We start from the raw sequence: 26543 nt of genomic DNA, 5'->3' as shown, positions 1-26543 counted from the left end.
CAGGCAGTGTTTTTCAACTATGTATCAAAATTAATTTTCTCATCAAGTACTAAAATGCCAACAAATTAGGCACTAATTAGGCCAATTCTATCCAGGAATCACTTTAAGTGCTTTTCAAACTTTGGTTTGCACTACAGCCTAGGATAGTATTAACGGACCAGTCACCAAAATTCTACCGTTCTTTTCTGATTCTCTTAAGATAATGGAAGATGACTTTCGGCAACAAATATTCCAACATTGAATAAACATATATGGCATGCATAATGACTAATGTATGACAATGTTTAAAACTGCTACTGATATACCCCAAAAAATTCTGAAAATTCAGAAAAGTTTAAAGAAGAAAATAAACACTACCCATAATACTATTATCCAGAGAATAACACCACTTTAACTCTTTTTATATATCCTTTCAGGCATTTTCTAGATGTGTGTATGCATACACATGTACATATACCCAATGCACACAAATTTATAATGCAAAAATTGAATTATACTATAAAACTTCATTGTGAATTTTATTAATATTTTCACTTAATATACTGTAAAGATCTTTTGAGTTAGCAATATAGCTCTAAATAATTTTAAATGGCTTTGTAATATTCAATTGTGGAACATTATTTAATTCTTAATAGACATTTAGAGTTCCATGATGAACATTCTCATTAAGACATCTTTCCTACTGCAGACCTTTAAGGTTTTACATAGAAAACTCCAACCACTAATTCTTTTATCAATATCAAGAATGAAACAGCATCAATGACCTCTTTCCCAAACCGTGAAGATCTAACTATTGGTAGGATCTAACTACTCCGCATTCTTGGTTTTATTTAAATAACCTGGATTTCAGCGCTACACTGTTAATTTTCCCTACATCATCCATCTCTTTTAAAATCCTTCCTTAATATTTGCATTAACTGTCACAACCACGTTATCAGTGACTACTGAGATTTAAGTTACATCTTGGTTGTTCATTGCTTCCCTGCATCTTGTATATCCTGTTGTGTGTGTTAACACAGCTAACAAGTCAATGATGCTTCATATTTTGTTTCCCATTTTCACTAAGATATGAATCCCATTGCCAGTGGACAATGATGGGGATACAGTGCTTTACAGAATACTTACTTCAGTAGTTCCAGGGTTTTGTGATCAAGGACAAGGCGCGGGTTTCCAGTCAGGTCTAGCTCCTGCAGTTTGGGAGGCAGGTTTTCTGGTAATGTGACTTCACTTAGCTCATTACAGCTCAGGTCCACACACTGAAAAAAGAACAAGTGCAAACAAGAAAGAGATGGTCTAGAGAAGCTCTTCAGGGAATTCTATACTCCTACTCTTTGCATGCAAATCAGTCTGACCATTCATTATAATACACTAGACAAATGTGGAAAAGGAGGCTTATCTGTTACTTTGCCATAAACATTTAAAATAGATTTTGCTAAATGCAAAAAAAATTTTTTAATTTTCTTTGAATAACAGAAAATCCATGTTCTTTATTCTTCCTATATTTTTCACTTAATTTTATCTCCACGTTTAAAATTAAGCATTAACTAAAAAATCCTAATAGATTTTCTTATTGCTCACAAAATCTCCGTGCCATGAGAACTATAGCTCAAACATTAAAATGAACTTTAAAGGAATTTCTTAAAACAAAACAAAAAACAAAGAAGGCTGAGTACAGAGGCTCACGCTTATAATCCCAGCACTTTGGGAGGCCGAGTAGGGTGGATCACTTGAGGTCAGGGGTTTGAGACCAGCCTGGCCAACATGGTGAAACCCCATCTCTACTAAAAATACAAAAATTGGCCAGGTGGTGGCGCAAGCCTGTAATCCCAGCTATTCAAGGTGGCTGACACATGAGAATCACTTGAATACGGTAGGTGCACCGGGCACAGTGGCTCACATCTGTAAACCCAGCACTTTGGGAGGCAGAGGCAGGCGTATCACCTGAGGTCAGGAGTTCGAGATCAGCCTGGGCAACACAGTGAAACCCCCATCTCTACTAAAAATACAAAATTAGCCAGGCACATGCCTGTAATCCCAGCTACTAGAGAGGGTGAGGCAGGAGAATCGCTTGATTCTGGGAGGTGGAGGATGCAGTGAGCCGAGATCGCACCATTGCACTCCAGCCTGTGCAACAAGAGTAAATCTCCATCTCACCAAAAAAAAAAAAATAAGAATCCGGGAGGTGCAGGTTGCAGAGACCACACCACTGCATTCTGGCCTGGGCGACAGAGCAAGACCCTGTCTCAAAAAAAACAAAACAAAACAGAAAACAAACAAACAAACAAAAAACAAAGAAAAGAACATGTAAAATGAGGAAAAGGCAGGTAACACACACTCAAAATGAGAAGATATTTCAAAAGAAACTGAATAAGAAATTGGCAAAAGCAAGATGAGCAGGTAAGCCTGCCTAATCTGTGTCAAAAAAAAAAAGGGGCTGAGTCAAGTATGGATCCTACCCTCAAGGCATCAACATCTGGACTCTCCAACAGGTCCTCCCTAATTTAACTTGAAAGAAAAATCACAAAAGGGTCATGTTGGTTACAAAAAAATCAGGTTTTACCTGTAAGTAGAAATTATAGCTCCTTTCTCACAAAACTGATGTAAAGCTTAAATAAGGTGTACTGTAAAAAGAGGGGCTGCCCTTGTGTTCAGGGAGCAGGGAACCTAGGTGGAGAAGGCTCAGCATACACAAGAGAAACGGAGTGGTCAGCGCTCTAGATACAACAATGCAGAATATATATAGTATATAGTATGGGGTGGAGAGCATTCAATTATCTGGCTGAATTAGTACCTTATTGTAAGTTTCAAAAGTGCTTACAGAAACGATCAGAGGGGAATTGTTTTGTTCTCTCTTCAGTCCTTTAAAAAAAGGGAGGAGGGAGATTATACTCAAGAACTTCAGGATCTTAAAAGTGGACAAAATCTTCCTTTTATTTGGAAAAATTCTCAAAGAATTTAAATCTAGTAGGGATTGGGGAAGGGTAGAGATTGGGTAAAATGAAAACCTGTATTTTTGGGTAAATATATTTTCAATAGGCTTCAAACAACACAATGCTCTCACACAAAATGTTTCATACAGTTGCTTCCAAATAGTAGCAATGAAAAAAATTATATTGCCATTCTAAATAATCATATTTTATTATGAGAGCATTATAACCACATTATCCACAAAAAGCTGAGCAAAAAGAAAAGCTCAGAAAAATATACCCTTAAATCTACCACCCTAACACACCCAGGGTTAGCATTCTGTTTTTTTTTCCTTATAGTCTTATTCATATATATTTTTTAAAAGCCTTAAAAATCTCAAACATAGGTGCAATTTCATTACATTTCATTTACTCTTCTATCACTCTACTGCAACCATTTTCCCCATCTTCATTCCCATCTGCTATGGTCTGAATGTTTGTCCCCCAACAAATTTTCATCATATGCTGAAACTTAATCCCCAACGTGATAGTATTAAGAAGTGGGGCCTTTGGGAACAGATGAGGTCATAAGGGCTTTGCCCTCATGCATGGGATTAGTGGCCTTATAAAACAGGCCCAGTCAGCTTGTTCACTCTTTGCACCTGACAAGCATACATGGAAGGAACTATCTATGAGAAATGGGGCCTCATCAGACCAAATCTGCTGGTACCTTCATCTTGGACTTCCCAGCCTCTAGAACTGCGAGCAAGAAATTTCTGTTGTTAATAAATTATCCAGTCTAAGGCATGTTGTTATAGCAGCCTGAATGCCCTAATATACCACCACCTTTAATAGCCCCATACTAATTCTAGTAGATGTACATTAATTTACTTAACCTAAATATTGGAGAAAACAGTCATCTCTTTTTTGCTTTGTTTTGTTTTTTTCAATTATAAATAATGGTTACATCAACAGTCAACCAGAGTTTAATGAAAAACTGATACCCGATAATACTGGGTAATAATGGGACATGCTACCAACAGAGTCAGTACACATCAGCATAGCAGGACAACAAATGGGGATATACACAATCTACTGGACACTGATGGGACAGGAAATAAAGAGCTAATAAGTGTGAGTAATTTAGGATGCAAGTAGTTGACAACAAAATTCAGGGGTCAGAAAATGCCTTTGGTCAAAGATTAAAGGCATTCTGCAGAAATATTGAATTTTATGAAATTGGTAAAAATTTTTTCTACAGATATAAACTAGCTCATTCTCTAAATTATCAAATTATGAAATGAGTTCAGTAGGGTAACTAATTACTTATGAAGATAATGCTGCAGGCTGTAATGCAGACCTTCTTAGAGATGATGTTCCTGTGCCTCCCCTCTGCCCAGGACTGTTTGCTCCCCAAGGCTCCTGTGACAGAGTCTCTGATTCACTGCAGCAGGTTCCCTTCCGTCGAGCTCCACTACCCTGGACTGACCTGCATCCCATTTCCCCCGGAGGGCTCTGGCTGCACCAGAAATTTGCTTTTGGTCTTGCTTCCCTCAATGTACTCCTTGTATGCTGTCAGGATGGTTTCTCAGTGTGGTTTACTCCACCTGCTCACACTCCAGCTTCAGTCCGTCAGCCTGCTCCCAGGTGTCCTTCAACCCGACACCAAACTCCTCAGAATGTCCAACAAGGCATCCCCAACTTTGCACACTGGCTTCCTCACACTCCATGTTCCACCCATGCCAGAGTGCCTGCAGCTCATGCATGTGACATGCTTTCATCTGTCTGTGCCTTAACACATGCTTCTCTCTGTGCTTGGAACTCTTTTCTTCATGCTTTTCTTGCTTTTTATCTGGTGCAATATGCCTGATTCCTTTTAAGACTCAACTCAATGCCAACTCTACTACAACCTGTTTCAATTTGGTGTCCCTTGTTATAATTATCTGCTTACTTATTTCTTCCATGAGACTATGGCCTCCTAGAGAGCAGGGATTGCTGCTGTTTCTCCCCGGATATCCTAAGCGCAGTGCACTGGAAAGTGTAGATGTTCAACAAATGGTTTCATTAAAAGGATGAACAAATGATTGCCTGGCACATGACAATCATTTTCTCAGTGAGTTTATGAAGGACTCTTGTAAGGTGTTTCAGTAATTAAATCTGCTAGGATGGGAACTGAGATACCAGTGCTTAGGTTAAATTCAGCATAGAATAGATAGCATTTTAATGCAATTTTAATACATTTTAAATATCATAGTTTATTTCTACATAAGAATGCAACCATTTTCTTTAATGGCAGATAAGCAAAAACACCCTTTTATACTTCTGCACACAGGAAGGAGGTTCGTTCACAGAAATTATAGAAAGTTGAAAAAAAAATTACAGGATGTTGGTATCTGGTGCTGCTCTCCCAGTGTTAACACAGTGAGCAACACGCTTAGAAGCACTCTGTCATGTTCTTTCAATAGTCCTCAACAAAGGCTGACTGCTGAGGTACTCCACAAACACTTGTTGGCTGAATCATAATGGTTACCACTAAGCAAATAGAAAATATTTGAGTGAAACTGGAATAAAAAAAGACCCTTTATATTGTTAATATATGTACCTCTATGGTTAGTGTACTACAACTTTCTTAAAAATATATTCAATAGAATGTTAAATCTGGCTAAAACACGACTAAAAGAAAATTATCTTTCCCTCTTTCAGGCCCATTCTAGAATATAGCTAACAAAAATTACTTTGTTATAATCAAAATTCTGGTAAGAATGCCCAAAAAATTATGCAACCCTCAGAAAAAGTGAGATAACTCATAGCTGAGAAGGAACTCTTGATTTAGAGGAAAATCATTACAAACACATTTAGATAAGAGCATAAAAAAGTCATTATATCTTAAAGAAAAAGAAATTCAACTTGATGTATAGTTTAAGTGTAACTATCACAAAAGCTGCATGGAGCCTGTCTTTATTATGTTTTCCTCAGAACATTACCAAAGAAACAGGCATATCAATGTTCATAGCAAAGTATTATATATCATCTGCCAAATAGCTGCCTGTACTGCCCTGAAATGGCAACTTAACCTACCGGCTGCTAGATTCTGTAACACCCTACTTCCTTCCTTCCTGCAGACTATCCCCAGTCCACCACCTCCACCGTGCTCCCCAGTGGCACAGTCAGTTCCAAAAATGAGGATCCCAATCACAGTCTGGATTTCCTTGCCCTTGCAAGGTAAAAGCTGCTAGTGTATAACATATTTCCCTACTGACTTCATAAGAAGTAAATAAATGCAAGTATTCTTTCAAAAGAAAATGTATTAAGGACCTACAAATCGGCAGGCAATAAGCCATCATCAGGGACATATGGAGATGGCAGACACAGTCCCTGCCCTTGAGGAACTCCCAAGATAGTGGGGGGAAATAAACAATACACCTTTAGCTGGTATGATCAACGATATGGCAGAAGTATGCACAGGTCATAGCAGCCCAGGGACAGATAACAAGACCCCAGAGAGGCCTTTCCAGAGAAGATTTTTGTGCAGAATCAAAGTTAATCAGGCATGTGAGAACAGGTGGACATCTAGAGAGAGCTAATAGCAGGTACAGCAGGAAGGAGACAAGAATAACGTTTGTGTGGCATATCAGGAAACTCACTATGAGCAGTTGCTGAGGCTGGAGACTATTGGGCCCCAGAGCAGAAGATAAGGCTGGGCAGGCAGAGGGATCAGATAATGAACTGTGGATCCTATAGATCGTGTCTCATACAGAAGTAGTCTACACTGCCTCCCTTTCTTATGATGCTATAGGAACTAGAACATTTTAGCTTAATAGTAAAATAAATATGCACACATATGTACTATTTCTCAATATACAACTTTTAGTCAAATTCTCTTAAACTACTATACATTCCTGGTGTTATAAAAGGCTAAGTGATCACTAACGTGGGATGTTGATACAACTAAGTAGGTTTATTAACTGAATGAGTCAGTCTGAACTCAACTTTTACCCTAAACACAGACCTGAGAGTCACAGTGTAGTACTATTATTCTACATAAAATTGTATTTATGGCTGTGTGCAGTGGCTCACGTCTGTAATTCCAGCACTTTGGGAGACCGTTGTGGAAGGATTGCTTGAGGCCAGGAGTTCGAGATCCACCTGGGTAATATAGCAAGACCATCTCCGCATAAATTTTAAGAAATTAGCCAGGCTCCTGAGCACCTGGAGTCTCAGCTACTCAGGAAGCCGAGGTGGGAGCTTCCTGTGAGCCAAGGAAGTTGAGGCTGCAGTGAGTTATGATTGCACCACTGCACTCCGGCATGCGCAACAGAGCAAGACCCTCTTTTTTAAAAAAATCATATTTGTATATAATTACTGAGAAATGTGCATTAATGTTTAAACTTCCTCACCTTATAGGGAGCTGCAAAGAAAGACCTTTAATCTTGTATAAAGCATTCCTTTTAAATTTACATACAGTGTCTCCATGATTTTCTCAACTGCATTTTAGATTTGGGAAGCCTAGAAGAAACCTTGGGAAACCTTAAAATTGGCAAGAATTTGAGGTGATAAAAATGACAAGCAGGGTAACAATCCTTAGCATTCTGTTTGTTCAAATACAGAATTTCCTCAAACACTAAAACTAAGTTATCTGCAAATTTTGACTTTAAGAAAATGTATCCTGTATAAACTGAACAATTTCTTTACATCATCCCTTCTTTTTTTATCCCCAAAGAGACAAGGTCTTGCCATGTTGCGCAGGCTGGTCTTGAACTCCTGGCCTTAAGCAATCCTCCAACCTCAGCCACCCAAAGTGTTGGAATTACAGGCATGAGCCACCGTGCCTAGCCCACCAGCACTTCTTAAAATTGATTATGGCCGGGCGCGGTGGCTCACGCCTGTAATCCCAGCACTTTGGGAGGCCGAGGCGGGTGGATCATGAGGTCAGGAGATCGAGACCATCCTGGCTAACATGGCAAAACCCCGTCTCTACTAAAAAAAAATACAAAAAATTAGCTGGGTGAGGTGGTGGGCACCTGTAGTCCCAGCTACTCGGGAGGCTGAGGCAGGAGAATGGCGTGAACCCGGGAGGCAGAGCTTGCAGTGAGCCAAGATCGCGCCATTGCACTCGAGCCTGGGCGACAGCAAGACTCCGTCTCAAAAAAAAAAAAAAAAAAAAAATTAATTATGTGTGCCCTTGGGGGTACTCAATGGTATACTACAAAGTTACAGGATGCCTGGCACATGCATCTGGGGGCTTTAGTTTTACTCAGATTGAGAAGGGAAAGAGCCATTATTTTTACATTAAAAAAAAGAGAAATGATAAAAAGTAGAACATAAAATGAGCATGATTTTTAGACTGAAAAAGAGACTTGAAAAGAAATTTACAAGTGATTCCAGGCATCTCCCAGATTTCTGGGTGCGTGAGTGCACTTCCCTTTGCCCTCAGGATCTGAAGAGCACCACAGTAACCACCTCACAGATCACTTCTTCTGAGGACTGAGTCATGGTGCTCCTTTCTCCAGAAGCCTCTCTAAAGAGATGCCTTCTAAAATGCATGAGTTCATGAAGGACTAATTGTTCATCTTTATAGATACATAAGCTATTCCATAAAATGTATGCAATATTTTGTTAGAATGGGCATGGCTTTGAATTTAGAAAGATCTGCTGAAACCAGAGTTAAAAACAAACACACACAAAACTAGTCTGGGTTGGCCAGGCGCGGTGGCTCACGCCTGTAATCCCAGCACTTTGGGAGGACGAGGCGGGCGGATCACGAGGTCAGGAGGTTGAGACCATCCTGGCTAACACAGTGAAACCCTGTCTCTACTAAAAATACAAAAAAATAGCCGGGCGTGGTGGCGGGCACCTGTAGTCCCAGCTACTTGGGAGGCTGAGGTGGGAGAATGGCGTGAACCTGGGAGGCGGAACTTGCGGTGAACAAAGATCGTGCCACTGCACTCCAGCCTGGGCAACAGAGCGAGAGAGACTCCAACTCAAAAAAAAAAAAAACTAGTCTGGGTTAACTCATTACACCAATTTTGAAAGACAGAGAGAATATGCAGTCTTAACTTCCTGCTAGTCTGTTCCTGGTGAGGCTGGGTGCAGAGTGGCTTCAATGGCCACTTTCCAGTAGACACTGCTTGCTTCCTCTTTCCTTAGTCCTTGTATCGAGCCTTGTCCCAAACAGGAATTGACATTAGATTCCGCAACGGTTGGAAAATTTCCTCAGTAACTATTACTTAACTTGATTCCAGCACCATAATAATGACTGCTCCTGGTTTCAGGTTTTGGATATGCATTATGCCAAGCTGACGTTTTTACGTCTATTATGTCAACTACGCCACCCAACTAAAGCCTAAACTTGGTTCCTGACCTGTCTTCATATCCATTTCCTACTTCCCCAAGAATCAACCCACTTTCTTCCATCCATTCTACCCAGCCATTTCCCCATGTTCTTTGTGTCTTTGTGATTGAGCTGATATTCTCTATTTCATTTTACTTTAGAGACAAGAACAACAACAAACAGGGCTTGCTGGAATCCAGCCAAGCGAAGTCTGGCTACATGGTGACTATGGGATTGTGGTTTTCTCTCTAGCTGATTGAGAGCTGATCTATATTCAGTTTATTTTTTAAACTTCCTATAGCCATTGTCCTCAAGAGTATAGCATATTAAAACTACTTCATACTCCATTTCCCAGTTAAGGTAACACAGATTTTAGATACAAGTTCACTCAACTTAGCCAAGTAGTTTATTACTGCATGGAACAAACATGAAAATAATCTTCTAAAGATAATTAAAACATCTAAAAAGATGCTGTTCTTAGAATCAGTAAGCCACAGGAACATGGAAATTTGACAAAGAAGTTGCTGACATGATGTTTAAATCCCAAATTACAAACTTCATTCACCGCAGGTATCAACACTTATTTCACCTGCTTAAAATACACTTCAAAAACGGGTTAGAACACCTGGCTCCAGCCTGGGTGACAGAGAACCTATGTCAAAAAAAGCGGGGGAAGGGTTTAGAATAGGTCACTATTAACTAATAGCTTGGTTTTTGTTGCAAAATTACTATATTACCAATGTGACTGCTATGCAGTTCAGTGGAAGGAGAAACAAGTGCCATATCCAACCTCTGCTTCTGAGGTTCCTCAGCCATGAGCAGCCTTAGCATGGCCTTAGGTCCAGGTCCAGCCAAACCAAGTCTGGCGTCTGTGTGACTCAGATCTTGTTTTCCTTACTAGATGATCAAGAGCTAATCTGTATCCAGAGGGAGGCCTGTCTGTTTCAGAACCAAAAGAGAACACAATCTGCTCCAAGCAAAACTGGACTGGTGGTAGGGGTTTGAAAGATCAATGCGAAAGGGCTAAACAAAGGTGAGGATAATAACACTAATGATCCACTCAGGCTCACTGGAAAATTCTGAAAAACTCATTTTATTTTTCCTACTAATAACTTACATAACCTCCCTATCCAAATACAGAAATTAACACCTGATGATCACTTTACAGATCTCATTAGATATTATCAAAATGAAAAAAATGCCAGAGCTCAATTTTATCCAAGATTAGATGGTGCAAATAGTCTGTTTAAGGTGTACATGAATAATTAATTATTCAGGTGTTTTAAAAACATATTTTAGCATACATCTCAGTACGGAGATTTGTTTGCTCTTTTAAACAATAACTGTTTTTAAAACTTTGGTAACAAAGCTATGAATAATCACTTTCTTTTAATGTCTGAAAAGATAGCAATGCTTGGTGAAACTAGCTAGTTAAATACACCATGATCTTATCTTTTCTGAAATGTTATCTGCTAAGTTTTTAAAATTGCAATGATCTTAATACCTTTATATGCTTTACAAGTAACACCTACTGCACTTTATTTTCAAGAAACAGTGTTAATGTAATCTAGAGTTATTAACTCAATAATAAAATTTTAATACAGGTTGGAATATATCACCGTAGAAATGAAATTACTTCTTTTACATTAAAAATATGCTTAGTTTACATAAAATACATAAAAATAGGCACACTTTACAATGAAGACTTTCATAGGTATATTTATCATTTAAGATACGCACAATTTTTACAAGATTTTCTTTTAGATATTCAAATATACATACTTATATTGCAACTTAAAATATTCTCATATGACACAAAAATATCAATTCAGAGTTCTGAAACAATATAACTACTATCTTTTTCAAGAATACTATCTGTCCAGGGATGAAACATTTACATGTTTGTACATAAAGGATACTTGATATTGCTCAGTGCACACGTACCCTAAAACTTAAAGTATAAAAAAAAAAAAAATCCCAACAACAAAACTTCTATCTACTGGTAATGGAGGAGCTCAGCCTGAAAGAATGGATATTGTTAACATAAGAAAAATGCTAAGGTGTAATAGCTGGGGGGAAAATCAACCAAAGAGCAAAAAAATGGAAACCATTTAAAAATATGGGAAGTAAAATTGAAAAGGAGTTGTAAAGCAGGTACAGAGAGAAGACAACAGGGGAAGGAATTCAATAGCAACAAAGGTACTGATTCTGTAATCCAGGAATCCAAGCAAGAGTCTAGGAGAGGATTAGTTTTCATACAGCAAAATTTGTGTTTTGCAAAATCTAGTTATAATCTAAAAACATTTACATTTCTTTTTTTTTTGAGATGAAGTCTCACTCTGTCACCCAGGCTGGAGTGTATTGGTGTGATCTCGGCTCACTGTAGCTTCCCCCTCTCGGGTTCAAGTGATTCTCCTGCCTCAGCCTCCCAAGTAGCTGGGACTACAGGAATGTGCCACCACACCTGGCTAATTTTTGTATTTTTAGTAGAGACAGTGTTTCACCATATTGGTGAGGCTGGTATCAAAAGCCTGACCTCAGGTGATCCACCTGCCTCAGTCTCCCAAGGAGCTGCCGTGCCTGGCCTGAATTTCTATTTGTATTTTATTTATTTATTTTTTTGAGATGGAATTTTGCTCTTGTTGCCCAGGCTGGAGTGCAGTGGCGCAATCTCGGCTCACTGCAACCTCTGCCTTCGGGTTCAAGTGATTCTCCTGCCTCAGCTTCCTGGATAGCTGGGATTACAGGTGCCAACCACCATGCCTGGCTTATTTTTGTATTTTTAGTAGAGACAGAGTTTCACCATGTTGGCCAGGCTGGTCTCGAACTCCTGACCTCATGATCCACCTGCCTCAGCCTCCCAAAGTGCTGGGATTACAGGCGTGAGCCACCAAGCCAGGCCTCTATTTGTATTTTAAACCAAATACTTAAACAAACAAAGAACCCCAAAACAAGAATCTAAATCTACATTTAAGAGTTTATAACATTAAAAGACAGATACAGACACTAAGACCAGCAAATAGGAGGTTTAATCTTGAGACTCTCACTTTCTCTTGTGCTAGAATTTCACCTGCACCACACATAGAGACCAGTTTAACAACCCCCAGTAAAAGATGGCACAGCACAGCCACTGTGTCAAGTAATGGGCAGCTGAGGAAACCCTGGAAGGTCTAGCTGACAACATCTTTCCTGTGCTGAACGGCAAATAAACATTTGCTTAAGTAATAAATTTCTTGGATTTTGTTGAGCTTCAGCCAAAATAGTTGCTCTATATAATCAACATCACATATGAACCACATTGAGGGCATGTGTTGATTAATAATGGCTAACATTTAGGGAGTTCTTCCTATGTGACACTCCTATTTCAAATGCTTTACATGTATTATTTCATTTCATCTCCATAACAATACTATAAAGGAAGTACCAATTCTTTTCTTTCTTTAACATACGAGGAAACAGAGCAGTGAATTTTCAGCTGGGATCCAACTGGAGGTCTGTCTCCCTTCAGAGCACGGCTCTTCCTCAATGTGAAAGTTACTATACAGAAAGTAAAAATTCTGGAAATTTTTGTTGTTGTTGTTGTTGTTTGTTTTTTGAGACGGAGTCTCGCTCTGTTGCCCAGGCTGGAGCGCAGTGGCACGATCTCGGCTCACTGCAAGCTCTGCCTCCCAGGTTCATGACATTCTCCTGCCTCAGCCTCCCGAGTAGCTGGGACTACAGGCACGAGCCACCATGCCCGGCTAATTTTTTCTATTTTTAGTAGAGACAGGGTTTCACCGTGTTAGCCAGGATGGTCTCGATCTCCTGACCTCATGATCCGCCTGCCTTGGCCTCCCAAAGTGCTGGGATTACCGGCGTGAGCCACCGCGCCCAGCCAAATTCTGGAAATTTATAACAAACATCTTAAAATGCCACTGTGATGTATGAGACAGTGTTCTTAAAGCCCAAAGTAAAACATTTTGTGGCTTAAAGCATACGTGCACATGCGTGCGCACACACACACACACAAACAAAATGGCTTGTACACATCTCAACCATATAAATGTGTAAAAACTGTTGTGATAAAAAGTTATGCAAGCCGGCCGGGCATGGTGGCTCATGCTTGTAATCCCAGCACTTTGGGAGGCCGAGGTGGGTGGATCACCTTGAGGTCAGGAGTTCAAGACCAGCCTGGCCAACATGGTGAAACCCTGTCTCTACAAAAAAATACAAAAGTTAGCTGGGCATGGTGGCAGGCGCCTGTAATCCCAGCTAGTCGGGAGGCTGCGGCGAGCGAATCGCTTGAACCCGGAAGACAGAGAGAGGTTGCAGTGAGCCAAGATTGCACCATTGCACTCCAGCCTGGGCAACAAGAGTGAAACTCCATCTCAAAAACAAAACAAAAAAAAGTTATGCAAGCCATTTAAAATGTCTTCAAATGTCTATTTGCTTTCTTAATCTAAAACACAAGGTTTATATCAGCAAGTGCCTGGAAAGTGAAGAATGGCTAAGTTGGACTGCTCTTGTTCCCTGTTAGGAGATTAGAATATGCTCCAAGTCTGTAACCACCAAATTATTTTTCATTAAGCATAAAATCGATTACTAGAAATGCTAAGATACAAATGAAAAACTACATTGTATATAAAGAACTTTTTACTTCTGTACCATTTCCCTGCCAGAAAAGAAACAAAATAGGAACACATGGTTGTTACATGGCTTTCATTCTAGTGAACTGGTTTCATCCCATGAATCTACCTCAAGTCAGCAGTCAGGATTTGCAGACTACCTCTGCTACCAATTTGCTGTCTTAATTTACACAGATTGCTTCACTTTTCAGCACCTCAGTGTCCTTACTTATCAAATGACAATAATATCTGCTCTGCCAATTTCATTCCGTTGAAATCAATGTTTGGTGACAGCAATGATGCTCTGTCTATATAGGGAATTACCATTAGTGGGCTAATATGGTGGGGTGTGCTATTTAACTGGGTGAGTTGGTAGGGAGCGATGTGTAGTGGTACTGTTAACCTTTTCAAACTGCGATTACACCAGCGTCAGCCTTTGAGCCTCATAACCACCCTGGAAATAAGTGGAACAACTATTAACAGATAAAGAAGTATAGGGTGGCTATGTGGGTAGCCTCATGTCATACAGTAAGTGAGGGACTCAGCCTAGAAATCCAATTTTCCCAAAACCTGCTCCAGTGTTTTGCTTTGTTTTTTAACTCTGCCGACTCAACGGTGTAGCCCATTGGTTAGGAAGGAGGAAGTAAGGGCTAATGGGGGCCTTCATTCTGAATAAATCCAACAAAGATGCAAACGTCCTGAGTTGATGAGTTAGGAAGTCAACTTTCTTTGCCGACCTGAAGCTTAGAGTTTATGAAATGAAACCACATACCTTGATCTCTGGGAGCTGCATAACTTCGGGAAAGACCTCGATGCAGTTGGAGTGAGCAATCACGGTGTGCATGCGCCTGCAATTCATGATCGTTGTTGGGATGGCTTTCAGCTTATTCCCACTGAGATCAATTTCTTCAAGTTCCTCCAGTTTCGCCATTTTACTAAAAAAAGAGAAAATAAAGCAATTTAAAAGAAAATAATATAGGACGAGAATCAAAGGATGAATTAAATTGCTATGACTTTAAGGATTCATTTGTAACAGTCATTTTTACAAACAAGACCATTTTTTCACTATCATTTTGGAGTACTGAAATATTTTAACACCTCCTTTCTCACTACAGAACAAAAACTATTCAACTCTTCAAATTGTCAACAAGAAGGAAAATGGATGCCCTTTTCCTCCTAAAAGTCTATGTGGAAATTAAGTTACCCTGGCAATAATCATGTTACTGTATAGCTTGGTCTGAACACTAATGAAAACACTATTTAAATGGGTCAAAAGCCAGCACTAATACAATAAAACTGCCTTAAAAGAGCTCAGAGAGTATGATTTCTTTGTAGTGGCACTGAAAACTCAAGGGGGAGGTAGAGAACAGGTCTATAGTTCATATTAAGATAAGCTTTTTCTTCAACCCTCACTCCCCCAACTCCTCTGACATCACTGATGAATACAAAGTGGTGGTAAGGAGCAAGGGGTGTGTTAAAAGCCCATTTGGATCACCTCTTGGACTTCTGGCAGAGCCCAAATTCACACCAGGGCCAAAAGACATTTATCTCAATTGTTGCTAAACATCTACCAAGAAGGAATCTCTCCAACCTTATCTTAATAATATGTTCTAATGTAATTAATTTAATACTTCTGTTTAAGAATGTCTTTTATTGTTCAATCCTCCTCATCTATAATCTTCATCAATAATTACAATAACCAACTAAAGAAAAATTCCAGAATCAGGGTTTCTTGCATTCTTTATAAATTTGAAAGAAAAAACAATGCCTCTACCTCTGCAATCACTGTAATAGTATCTGGCACTTTTTTGACCCTTTTTCCACTCCTGCTGATGTTAGACTCCAAGAAGCACAGGATTCCCCATTAGTGTGATCCAGACTCATAAGCTGAATAATAGTTTACATTTTTTGGTATTGTTTCTACCTGTTATAGTTTCATTTGTCACAATACACTTTTAAAGAATTTAACAAAAAAAAACCACTGTATTATTTTTGTCATCTTTCAAATATAAAGATTATCTTGTTTATCTTGAAAATAAATATATGCCTAAGATACAGTAAAAACTAAGTTTTTATCTTATGAAGTCAGACCTTTTAATATCATATACATCCAGTGTGGTATCAGAATAGACTACAAACAATATGTACACAGACTATGAAGTAATCCATCTATGATAGCCCGAATTTCTGAGAATATTATTTAAATATGTTATCATCATATTTTGAAAAAAATATAGTGATACGGTTTGGATTATTTGTCCCCTCCAAATCTCATGTTGAAACGTGATTCCCAGTGTCAGAGGTGGGGCCCGGTGGGAGGTGTTTTGGTCATGGGGGCAGATACCACATGAATGGCTTGATGCCCTTCCCATGGTAATCAGAGAATTCACACGCTGTGCATTCACGCAAGACCCTGGCATCTCTTTTGCCCCCTCTCTCACCATGTGACACAATGGCTCCCCTTCACCTTCTGCCATGATTGTAAGCTTCCTGAAGACTCACCAGAAGCAGATGCCAGCCCTTGTGTGCCTTGAAACTAATGGGTAATGGTGCATGAAAAATGATTAAAAGCACAGAAAACAGGCCCCCAAAAGAAAAAGTTAAAGAAATTTCCAACTCGCCACATAAAAAGAAGGTGGCAAAAGATGTGAAGACAAAATGACTAGATGGTGGTCCCGTTCTTTAATTCAGCAACCATTTAAGTGTGGGCCTTGTGTGAGATATGAGGCTGAGGGATACAGCAAGGTCACAGACCCAGCTCTTAAGGTGCTCTGGTTTGCAGGGGAGCTACTGAGCCACATCACAACCACAGGGAGACAGAATTCATTCCTAGATGGATTTTTTTACAAGGTGTGTTAAAAGTTTCTCTGCACTTAGGGTGGGTGATTACACCTGGCACGGGTCACTGGGGGTATATCCTCAGAATTAGAGCTGATGATCCTTTCCTCTGCAGGGTTTAGACATTCATCATCTGAAAGAAGACAATGAGCTCTTTCAGATAGGTTGCTGTTATGTGATTATCATGGTTTTTTCCAAAAATATCATTTCCCCATTCCATAGTGAAGTAAAAGTAGATGGAAGTAAGCATAAAATAGTTTAATTATTAATATCAAATGAGGAGGAAAGTAAATATTTCATTACACCAAAAACAGAGCAATACTTTAAGTCAACATATACACGGGCCTTCCTTCTTCAGCAAGGGCTCGAACAGACTGGTAGCCCTGAAGGCAGCAGAGGGAAGCTATGATAGTGTTTTGATTTGGCCCCAATGCTGAGTTGCAGTTACCAAGCAGAAACCAGAAGGGTTAGTGTTTGTTTCTTTGATGCGTGGGTGTGTGTTCAAGCCCTAACTTGTTAGATGGATAAAAGCCAATGAAATGGAAACACGGTAAATCCTCACGGCAGGCTCAGCACGCAGATTCACTCAAAGCTAGATATAATGTCACCGCTCACCGAAAATTAGAAATTAAAGTAAAAACAAATTAAAAATGGACTATTTTGAGAGCCAGAATTTGCAATGTTACAGTTTCTATGGTAGTAGAGTCTACCACTGCTCTGTACATCATGAATATGAATATAAAGTTTGGTAGATAATGAAGGATTTTCAGGTTCCTGGTTTACATTCTAATTCCCACATACCCTATTAGGTTAATGTTTTTGGAAACTTTATTATTTACTTTATTTTTTAATAGATAGGGTCTCACTATGTTGCCCAGGCTGGTCTCGAATTCTTCAGCTCAAGTGACCCTCCCATGTCAGCCTCCCGAGTAGCTGGGACTACAGGCACGCACTGCCACACCTGGCTCTAGGATAATGGTTTTTTAAAAAATTAATCTGACTGGTTAAAAAGAAGTAAAAGAAAAAACATACCTGCTAAACAACACATTTTATTTCAAAATCTTAAGAACATTCTTGTGATTAGGTCTTTGGACACATATGAAGAAAACCAATCTACTTCTCTTTAGGGAAATGTCATCATAGCTTACATAAAGGAAACTGTGAAGGGAGCAGGAACAAGCAAACAAACTTGACATCACCTGGGAAATAAATATTTCAGCCTTCACCTTTCTATGAATACACTTTGAGAAATGCAATTCAGAACGCAGCTTTACAACTGTCCTTTACCTTGCTGGAAAACTCTGAAGTCGGTTATAGGCCATGTGAAGGATCTTCAAATGGGGGTGTCCCGTTAACAAGGGCACACATTTGTCTGTGAGGCTGTTATTTGTCAAATACAACTCTTGTAAGATACTGTTTGTCTCTTCGGAAAGCGTGGCTGGAGGAAGGCTTTCCAGTTTGTTCGCAGAGGCGTTCAGGAATCTCAGGCTACAATGACAAAACGCAACAAAATGCCATTGAAAAGTCACAAAAACCCTCAAGAAACCTAAAAGCTTTGATACCAGGCATATTAGAAGCTGGGATCAGAAACATGAATTGAAAAGACAAGCCCTGGCTTCAAGGAGTTCAATTAGCAAGTATTTGTATCTGTGATTCACTAACTATCATGACCACAATAGCTATCTATATGTATTAAACACAGAGATACAACCAATTTTTATGGAAGCACAAAGGTAAGGGGAAGCAATTATTTTTATAGTTGGCGGGGAGTGGAAGAGAAAGTGATATGGTAAAGTTAATATTCTGACTTAAGGAAGAGAAAAACAGTTTCCTATTTTGTAATCAAAAGTTTTTGCTAAAGCAGGAGGATGCCAGGAGTTTGAGACCAGCCTGGGCAACAAAGCAAGATCCTGCCTCTATAAAAATTAGGTGAATAAATAAATAATAAATAAATGGTTCTTATAGTAATAAAACAGGTATTAGATCACAATGCAACTAAATCACATAGTGACTTGAGTCCTCTTCAGTATAAAGTCCAAAGCACATTTTACTGGCTTTCACAAGTGCAGGAGATAATTTGCTCTCTATTAAAACAACATAATATGATGTAGCAATGAGAATAAAGAACTAAAACAACATGTATCAACAGGATGAATCTCACAAACACATAATGACCAGAAGAAGCCAGATACAAGAGGAGACCCACTGCATGATCCCATAACTATATAAAGTTCAAAGTCAGGCAAAATTACTCTGTAGTAACAGAAGTCAGGATGGCAGTAACTCTTAGGTGGGGAGGGAAAGGAGGCAGTATCCAGGAGACGGCGTGTAACGTTTCAAATATTGTAATGTTCTGTTTCTTAGTCCAGGTGCTGGTTACACAAGTGTGCTCACTTTGAGACGAAGCATCAAGGGCTACACTTATGATCTGGCCTCTTTTCTGTATTTATATTGTACTTAAATAAATTTTACATTAAAACAAACAAACAAGATAATATATTGCTGCCACACTTTTCAGATGCTAGAGTGAAAAGAGGATAAAGGCCAGGCGTGGTGGCTCACGCCTGTAATCCCAGCACTTTGGGAGGCCGAGGCAGGCGGATCACAAGGTCAGGAGATCGAGACCATCCTGGCTAACATGGTGAAACCCTGTTTCTACTAAACATACAAAAAATTAGCCGGGTGTGGTGGCGGGCGCCTGCAGTCCCAGCTACTCGGGAGGCTGAGGCAGGAGAATGGCGTGAACCCAGGAGGCAGAGCTTGCAGTGAGCGGAGATCGCACCACTGTACTCCAGCCTGGGCGACAGAGCGAGATTCCATCTCAAAAAAAAAAAAAAAAAAAAAAAAAAAAGAAAAGAAAGAAAAAGAAACGTGGATAAAATATAAAGAATGGTTTTATAACTAAGATAAGTAAAATTGCCCAAAAAAAAAAAAATCCTCCACGGTGATTGTGAAATGTAGTTAAATGCACATTGCAAAGCTGGGGAATGGCAACAAATCCTTGCTGTGATCAGGTTCCAAATCACTCCAAAGGGACGGACTGTGTCACCCTCAAGAGTCAGAGATGACCCTCCTGATTCATGACGAATGTCCAACTGTGCAGCTGCAGCAGGTGGGAAAGAGACAGTGCTCAGTACATAGCACTTGCCTACAAGAGTTAGAAGGGTGAAATCTCCCATGCCTCCCCCTGGCCCCCAGATCAACCCTGTTGATGAACCACACTATTCCCTCATTTCAATCACTTTGGTTTGAAACTTTCACCATTCAATTCAGGACTATTCTGCCATCTGTTAAAAAAAAAAAGAATAAAATCATCCTTAAAAAGAATACAGAATACCAGGCAGTTATTTTTAATCTTGGAGAGAAAAAAAAAGGCTACTAGGAGTCCTCACCAGGACTGTCACTTCAAGCTCTCAGTCCACTAATTTAAAACTCTTCAATCTTGTACAACCCCTTCAACACACAAGCACCAACTCCATTACTTATCTGAGGAAAAGCAGCTTCCCCAAAATAGAACATTTTCCATTAAAGAAACACGTATTCCGTTGACATTAAAAAAAAAAAAAAGGAAGTTAGAGAACGGCTATCCAGACCATAAATAGTCACGGGAAATTATAGTCGTGTGTGCTACAGAGAAGGAAATAAAGGTCACTCCTGCAGTTTCTGAAATGGTTTTGAAGTAGGAAGGAAACAAGTTTCAGCAACATAGTTGTTTACCATCGCTGTTTAGAGTATTTTTATGAGTCTGTTTCTTTAGATCCCATTTAGACCACCTTATTTCCTGTTAAGAATTTCTTTAGTGTAGCATTAGAATAAATTACAATGTAAGAAATAAATTTTATTGCCCTAAAATATCATGGACTAGTGTTGGCTGGGAAACTATATAAAATAATTTCATTAAAATAGAATTCTCAGCTGGGCGCAGTGGCTCACACCTGTAATCCCAGCACTTTGGGTGGCTGAGGCGGGTGGATCACCTGAGGTCAGGAGTTCGAGACCAGCCTGGCCAACATGGTGAAACCCCCCTCCTCTACTAAAAATACAAATATTAGCTGGGTGTGGTGGCAGGCACCTGTAATCCCAGCTACTCGAGAGGGTGAGGCAGCAGAATCACTTGAACCCGGGAGGCAGAGGTTGCAATGAGCCAAGACTGCACCATTGTGCTCTAACCTGGGCAACAAGAGCGAAACTCCGGCTCAAAAAAAAAAAAAGAAAGAAAGAAAGAAAGAAAAAAGACAAAAATAGAATTCTCTAGGAAATATGTAGTTATACACACACAAACACATGCGATAAAACAAAGTGAATTCATGTTTGCATATTTTTTAGGCCAGAAAAAGAGGGAATGTTTTAAAAACAGACAAGTGAATGCTCATCTAGAAAGCTGCCAAGCAACTTAAAAAACCCCTCATGGCATCTGAATAAAGGGAAGAAAGTGATTTCCTCAAAGATTTATCCTCTCATCTTTTTGAAAGTTGTCTGTAATTAAGGAACTATATACCTTTTATGCAAAATTAAGGGGGAAACTGCCAGCATCATCCACCTCCAAGAAATGAAACTAGTTAGTTGAAACCACATGAAGTGGTTCCAAAGGACATCATCTGAACTGCATAAAGTCTGACTTAATCACCTTGCTGGTTAATAGTCAAAGAGCAAACAATTGGACTAAAAATATTTTTTATTATCATAGTATCAGGAAAATTAAATTCAATACCCATTCACTTAAGCCATTCTTCCTAAAACCTCACAATGTTTCAGCAGGAGACAATTTAAATTGGTTTAATAGTCTACATTTCATCCTTCCACCAGAACGAACAAATACTTTAGTTTTGCAAAGTTTCTCCAGGATGGTTAACAATTTTAGTAAATAAATAGGCTCCAGAACCCCACTCTCTGCTTTCAACCTTGCAAAAAAGCTGAATTCTTAAAGGGCTGAGTCAGGTCTCAACTCTGTATGATGTGATAACTATCCTCAAGCTTCTTCCTTACAGAATTTTGTAATAAGTATACTATAAAAAAGATGGTTTAATGTGCCAACAGCTGTTTCATGCTTCATCCATATAACATTTTTCACTATGCAATCCTCTTCTAATTAGAGAAAAAGCAGTAACATATGACTGTTTTCTTTTCATTTGTAAGGTACTTTGTAGATTCCACAGACACCACAGACCTTTCTTCCTTCTTCTTTTTTATTTTCTTTTTTGACAGAGTCTTGCTCTGTTGCCCAGGCTGGAATGCAGTGGCATTTGGCTCACAGCAACCTCCGCCTCCCAGGTTCAAGCAATTCTCCCACCTTAGCCTCCTGAGTAGCTGGGATTACAGGCATGCACCACCATGCCCAGGTAATTTTTGTATTTTTAGCAGAGACAGGGTTTCACCATGTTGGCCAGGCTGGTCTCGAACTCCTGACTTCAAGTGACCCACCTGCCTAGGCCTCCCAAAGTGCTGGGACTACAGGTGTGAGCCACTGCACCTGGCCACTATTTTCTATCTCATTTGATTTTTCCATCACCCCAGAGATATAACCTCTCATATTTCACGAAAGACAAAACTCAAAGCTGAGAAAGTAACATTATTTGGCAATGGCTCAATAGTAACTAGTGGCAGAGACAGAAATAAAACTCGGATTTCATCAGTCTCAAGTCCACAGTTTTCTACCATGTGTCTCCAAAATTCAAATGTTGAAAAATAATTATAAAAACCTTTTTGTGGGGACATTTTCATAGGTCCTTTTTTTCTAAAAGAGCTGGAGGGTCAAGCAGGGCACCTGCATGTAATGTGAAGACCACGTGTGCACAGCATTTCAAACTCAATTCTTAAAACAAGTTAGTAAATAGCACAGTACTCAAGAACTTCTCTCAGCATAGAGTTCAAAAGTCTCAGAGAAAAGACACACAGATATGGCTCCTGCCCTAAAGTGTTTGGAAAGTCACCCGCAACAACAGTGAGACAAATCCATTTCCTGCTTCTTGAGCAATTGCTCTGCTCTCCTTGGCATATTCTGTCCATTTGACTCATCTATATATTTTTTGTTTTGTTTGCTTTTTAGTAATTTCCAGCACACCCTTAAATTTTACAGCCAAATTCTCTTAGAAACAGGGCACAGGATTTGGTACCATAACAGATTTATCTATTTGTAGACATACCAGGTATTGTAAAAATGATTTTTCTGGAAATCTGTACTGGGACTTATATACCATTAAAACTCTACATAGTCACAACTGTCTAACCCCAGCAAAACTCTTACTTTTAGGCAACCCTCTGATTTCTGTCTCCGAAGCATTCCAGAAGTGTAAACATTCCAAGTTTCTTATTATTGCTTGTTTTTATAACAAAGTACTTTTGACAGTTCCATCTATCTTCACAAGGCTGACACTTCACGTTGTATTTCATTATCAGTCCTCCTTTCTTCTCCAATCAGTCTTATTATCTTAGATGACCTTGATGTTTTTGAAGTGTACTCGACAAACATTCTGTAAAATGTCTCTCAATTTAGGTTTTATGTTTCATCATCATTAGAGTAAGGTCATGCGTTTTTGGCAAAAATATCGCAGAGGTTGTGCCCTTCTCAGGGCATCACATCAGGATATATGTGAGGCCAATGTCTTATTATTGGAGATATTAACTTTGATTACTTGGTTAAGGTGGTGTCTGCCAAGCATCTCCACTGCAAAGTAATAATTTTTTCTTTTGTAATTAAATAACGTGTGGAGAGATCATTTGAGACTATGAAACTCTTCTGTTTCTCATACTTTTGCCCATTAATTTAGCATTTGTGCTTGTAACAATCATTTCTGTGTTGTTTGCCAAGTGATTTTTCTATTTTCATGATTCCCTCTACTTACAGTTTGTTAAATGGAATTATCCTACAAGAGCTCTCCCAATTTATTTACCTAATTACTTGCTTTATTTCAGTATGGTCATATTGATGTTTATTTTATTCTGCTGGATAGAATTTATTACTATCATTGTGTACTTTTTGCTCACGTTGTCCCAAATGTGGCCACTGGGAGCTCCTTCAAGTTGACTCACGCATCCTTTGACATGCTCCCGTCATTTTGTGAGCATTTCTTTACTTTTGGGCTCATCTTGTATTCAGCCTGCTCTAGCCCTACACTCAATCCTGTTTCCAAGGACACCTGATTCCTTTTGTTGAAGAATGATACTTAAAAAGCAAAGTCTTTTTATTTAATTTTATTTTTTTGTGAGATGGAGTCTTGCTCTGTTGCCCAAGCTGGAGTGCAATGGCTTGATCTCGGCTCACTGCAACCTCCACCTCCTGGGTTCAAGTGATTCTCCTGTCTCAGCCTCCCAAGTAGCTGAGATTACAGGCATGCATCACCAGCCCGGCTAATTTTTGTATTTTTAGTAGAGACGGGGTTTTGCCACACTGGCCAGGCTGGTCTCGAACTCCTGACCTCAGGTGATCCGCCCACCTCGGCCTCCCAAAGTGCTGGGATTACAGGCAGGAGCCATGGCACCCGGCCAAAAACCAAGGTCTTGATGTTAGATATACTTCCTGGTACTGGCGTGTCACTATTTCTAGGCCTTCTTCTCAGCAGAAAGAACTAAAACATACATGTTTAGCTGTCTGGTAAGGTTTGTCTCTCCCTTGTATTAATAGTTTTACTTTTTCAGTGTTTTCCCGGCTATTCTTATATGATTCTTTTAACCATATGAACAGTAGCATCAATTTGTCTAACTTGATCATAAAAGCATTTTGGTATTTACATGATGATTGTGTTAAATTTGCAAAGTAATCTACAAAAAACTGATATCTTAATAATATTAAGTCGTCCTATCTAAGAACAAGGAATATTGTTTCATTTGTTCAAATTTGCAAATTTCAGAAGTGTTTTAACGTTTTATTCATACAGTTTTTGCACATTTCTTATTTATTCTTAAGTAACCTCCTTTGATGCTATTTTAAATGGGATTTTCACTACCAATATAATATGTCTTCCAATGGCTATGTTTGTGTATACAAAGGCTTTTGATTTCTGCATATTAACTTTATATCCCTGCTACTTTGTTGAAATACTTTGTTGTCTGAATTCATTTATCAGTGATTCTCTAGGGTTTTCCAAGTATACTATCATGTTAACTGCAATAGAGATAGTTTCTCTCTTCTTTACCCAACGCTCATGCCTCTAATTGATCTTTTCTTGTCTAATTACCTGGCTAATATATCTAATATAATATTGAATAAGAGTGAAAATAACGGGCTTTCTTGTCCTGTTACTGATCTTAGTAGAAATACCAATGGGGTTTCCCCATTAAGAAATTGGCTTTAGGACTAAGTGTGTGTGTATATAATGTTAAAGAAGTATCCCTCCATACCTGAGGTACTATTTTCCTTATTTTTTTATTAACAGCTTTATTGAGATATAATTCATAATTCACATATGGCTACACCTTGTTTATCCACACATGAGCTGAGGAACATTTGGGTTGTTTCCATTTTGGGGGTAAGTTAAGTTCAAGTACATGTATATTTTATTTTAGATTCAGAAGGTATATGTGCAGGTTTGTTAAACGGGTAAATTGTGTAATGCTGGCATTTAGGCATCACCCAAATATTTGGGTACCACCAAATAGTACCCAATAGGTAGTTTTTCAAACCGTATATCCCTTATCTCTTTCAGAGTCCTCAGTGTCTCTTGTTTCCGGCTTTATGGCCATGTGTATACACTGTTTAGCCCCCATGTATTAAGAAATAATGTGCAGTATTTTTCTGTTTCTGTATTAATTCACTGAGGATAACAGTCTCCAGCTGCATCCATGTTGCTGCAAAGGACATAATTTTGTTCTTTTTTATGGCTGTGTAGTATTCCATGGTATATATGTACCATATTTTCTTTATCCAATTCACCACCGACGGGTACATAGGTTGATTCCATGACTTTGCTATTGTGAATAGTGTTGCAATAAACATATGAGTGCAGGGAAGGTGTCTTTTTGATAAATGATTTCTTTTCCTTTGGGTACATATTCAGTAGTGTGATTGCTGGGTGGAATGATATTTCTATTTTTAGCTCTTTGAGAAATCTTCATACTGTTTTCCACAGGGGTTGAACTAATTCACATTCCTACCAACAATGTATGTTCTCTTTTCTCCATATCCTTGACAACATGTGTTATATTTTGACTTAATAGTCATTCTGACTGGTGTTGAGATGGTATCTCATTATGGCTGTAACTTGCATTTCTCTGATGATTGTGATGTTGAGCATTTTTTCATGTTTGCTGGCAGCCTGAATTTTTTCTTTTGAGAAGTGTCTATTCATGTCCTTTGCTCACTTTTTAATGGGGTTGTTTCTTTCTTATTTAAGTTTCTTATAGATATTTGTCCTTTGCCAGTTGCATAGTTTGCAAATATTTTCTACCATTCTGTAGATTGTCTGTTCATTCTGTTGTTTCTTTTGCTGTGCAGAAGCTCTTTAGTTTAATTAAGTCCCATTTGTCAATATTTGTTTTTGTTGCATTTGCCTTCGAGGTCTTAGTCATAAATTCTTTGCCCAGGCCAATGTCCAGAAGAGTTTTTCTTCTATGATTTGTATCCTTTGAGGTATTATATTTAAGTTTTTAATCCATCTTTAGTTTTTGTATATGGTGGGAGGTAGGGGTCCAGTTTCATTCTTCTGCATATGGCTAACCAGTTTTCCCAGCACTATTTACTGAATAGAGTGTCCTTTCCTCATTGTTTATTTTTGTTGACTTTGTCAAAAGATCTGTTGGTTGTAGGTGTATGGCTTTATTCCCAGGTCTCTATTTTGTTCCTTTGATCTATGCATCTGTTTTTGTAACAGTTCGATGCTGTTTTCATTACCTACAGTGTTTGCAGTATATTACCTTGAAGTCAGGTAA

At 38.9% G+C, this 26543-nt stretch overlaps 1 protein-coding gene across 1 annotated transcript in view, besides 1 other annotated feature; it reads right to left on the bottom strand.

The window, feature by feature from the left end:
• Positions 1–26543, bottom strand: part of PHLPP1 (PH domain and leucine rich repeat protein phosphatase 1) — a 264893-nt gene that overhangs the window by 20549 nt on the left and 217801 nt on the right. The window contains exons 11-13 of the mRNA NM_194449.4: positions 17967–18167; positions 14614–14776; positions 1126–1256 (exon numbers count right to left, since the gene is read on the bottom strand). Of these exons, the coding sequence (NP_919431.2) occupies positions 1126–1256; positions 14614–14776; positions 17967–18167 (495 nt within the window). The remainder of the gene's footprint in view (positions 1–1125; positions 1257–14613; positions 14777–17966; positions 18168–26543) is intronic.
• Positions 16699–17898: an enhancer, noted in NCBI's record as "BRD4-independent group 4 enhancer chr18:60609220-60610419 (GRCh37/hg19 assembly coordinates)". NCBI's record gives its function as "activates an origin of replication core promoter dependent on BRD2, P300/CBP, MED14 and CDK7 cofactors, and independent of BRD4, by STARR-seq in HCT116 cells {active_cell/tissue: HCT116}" and the evidence as "EXISTENCE:reporter gene assay evidence [ECO:0000049][PMID:35650434]".

This window comes from Homo sapiens, chromosome 18 (genome assembly GCF_000001405.40).
Source record: "Homo sapiens chromosome 18, GRCh38.p14 Primary Assembly".
In the NCBI taxonomy this organism is placed as follows: domain Eukaryota; kingdom Metazoa; phylum Chordata; class Mammalia; order Primates; family Hominidae; genus Homo; species Homo sapiens.
Note: the sequence above shows the minus strand (reverse complement) of the source record. Positions and strands in the feature narration are given on the sequence as shown.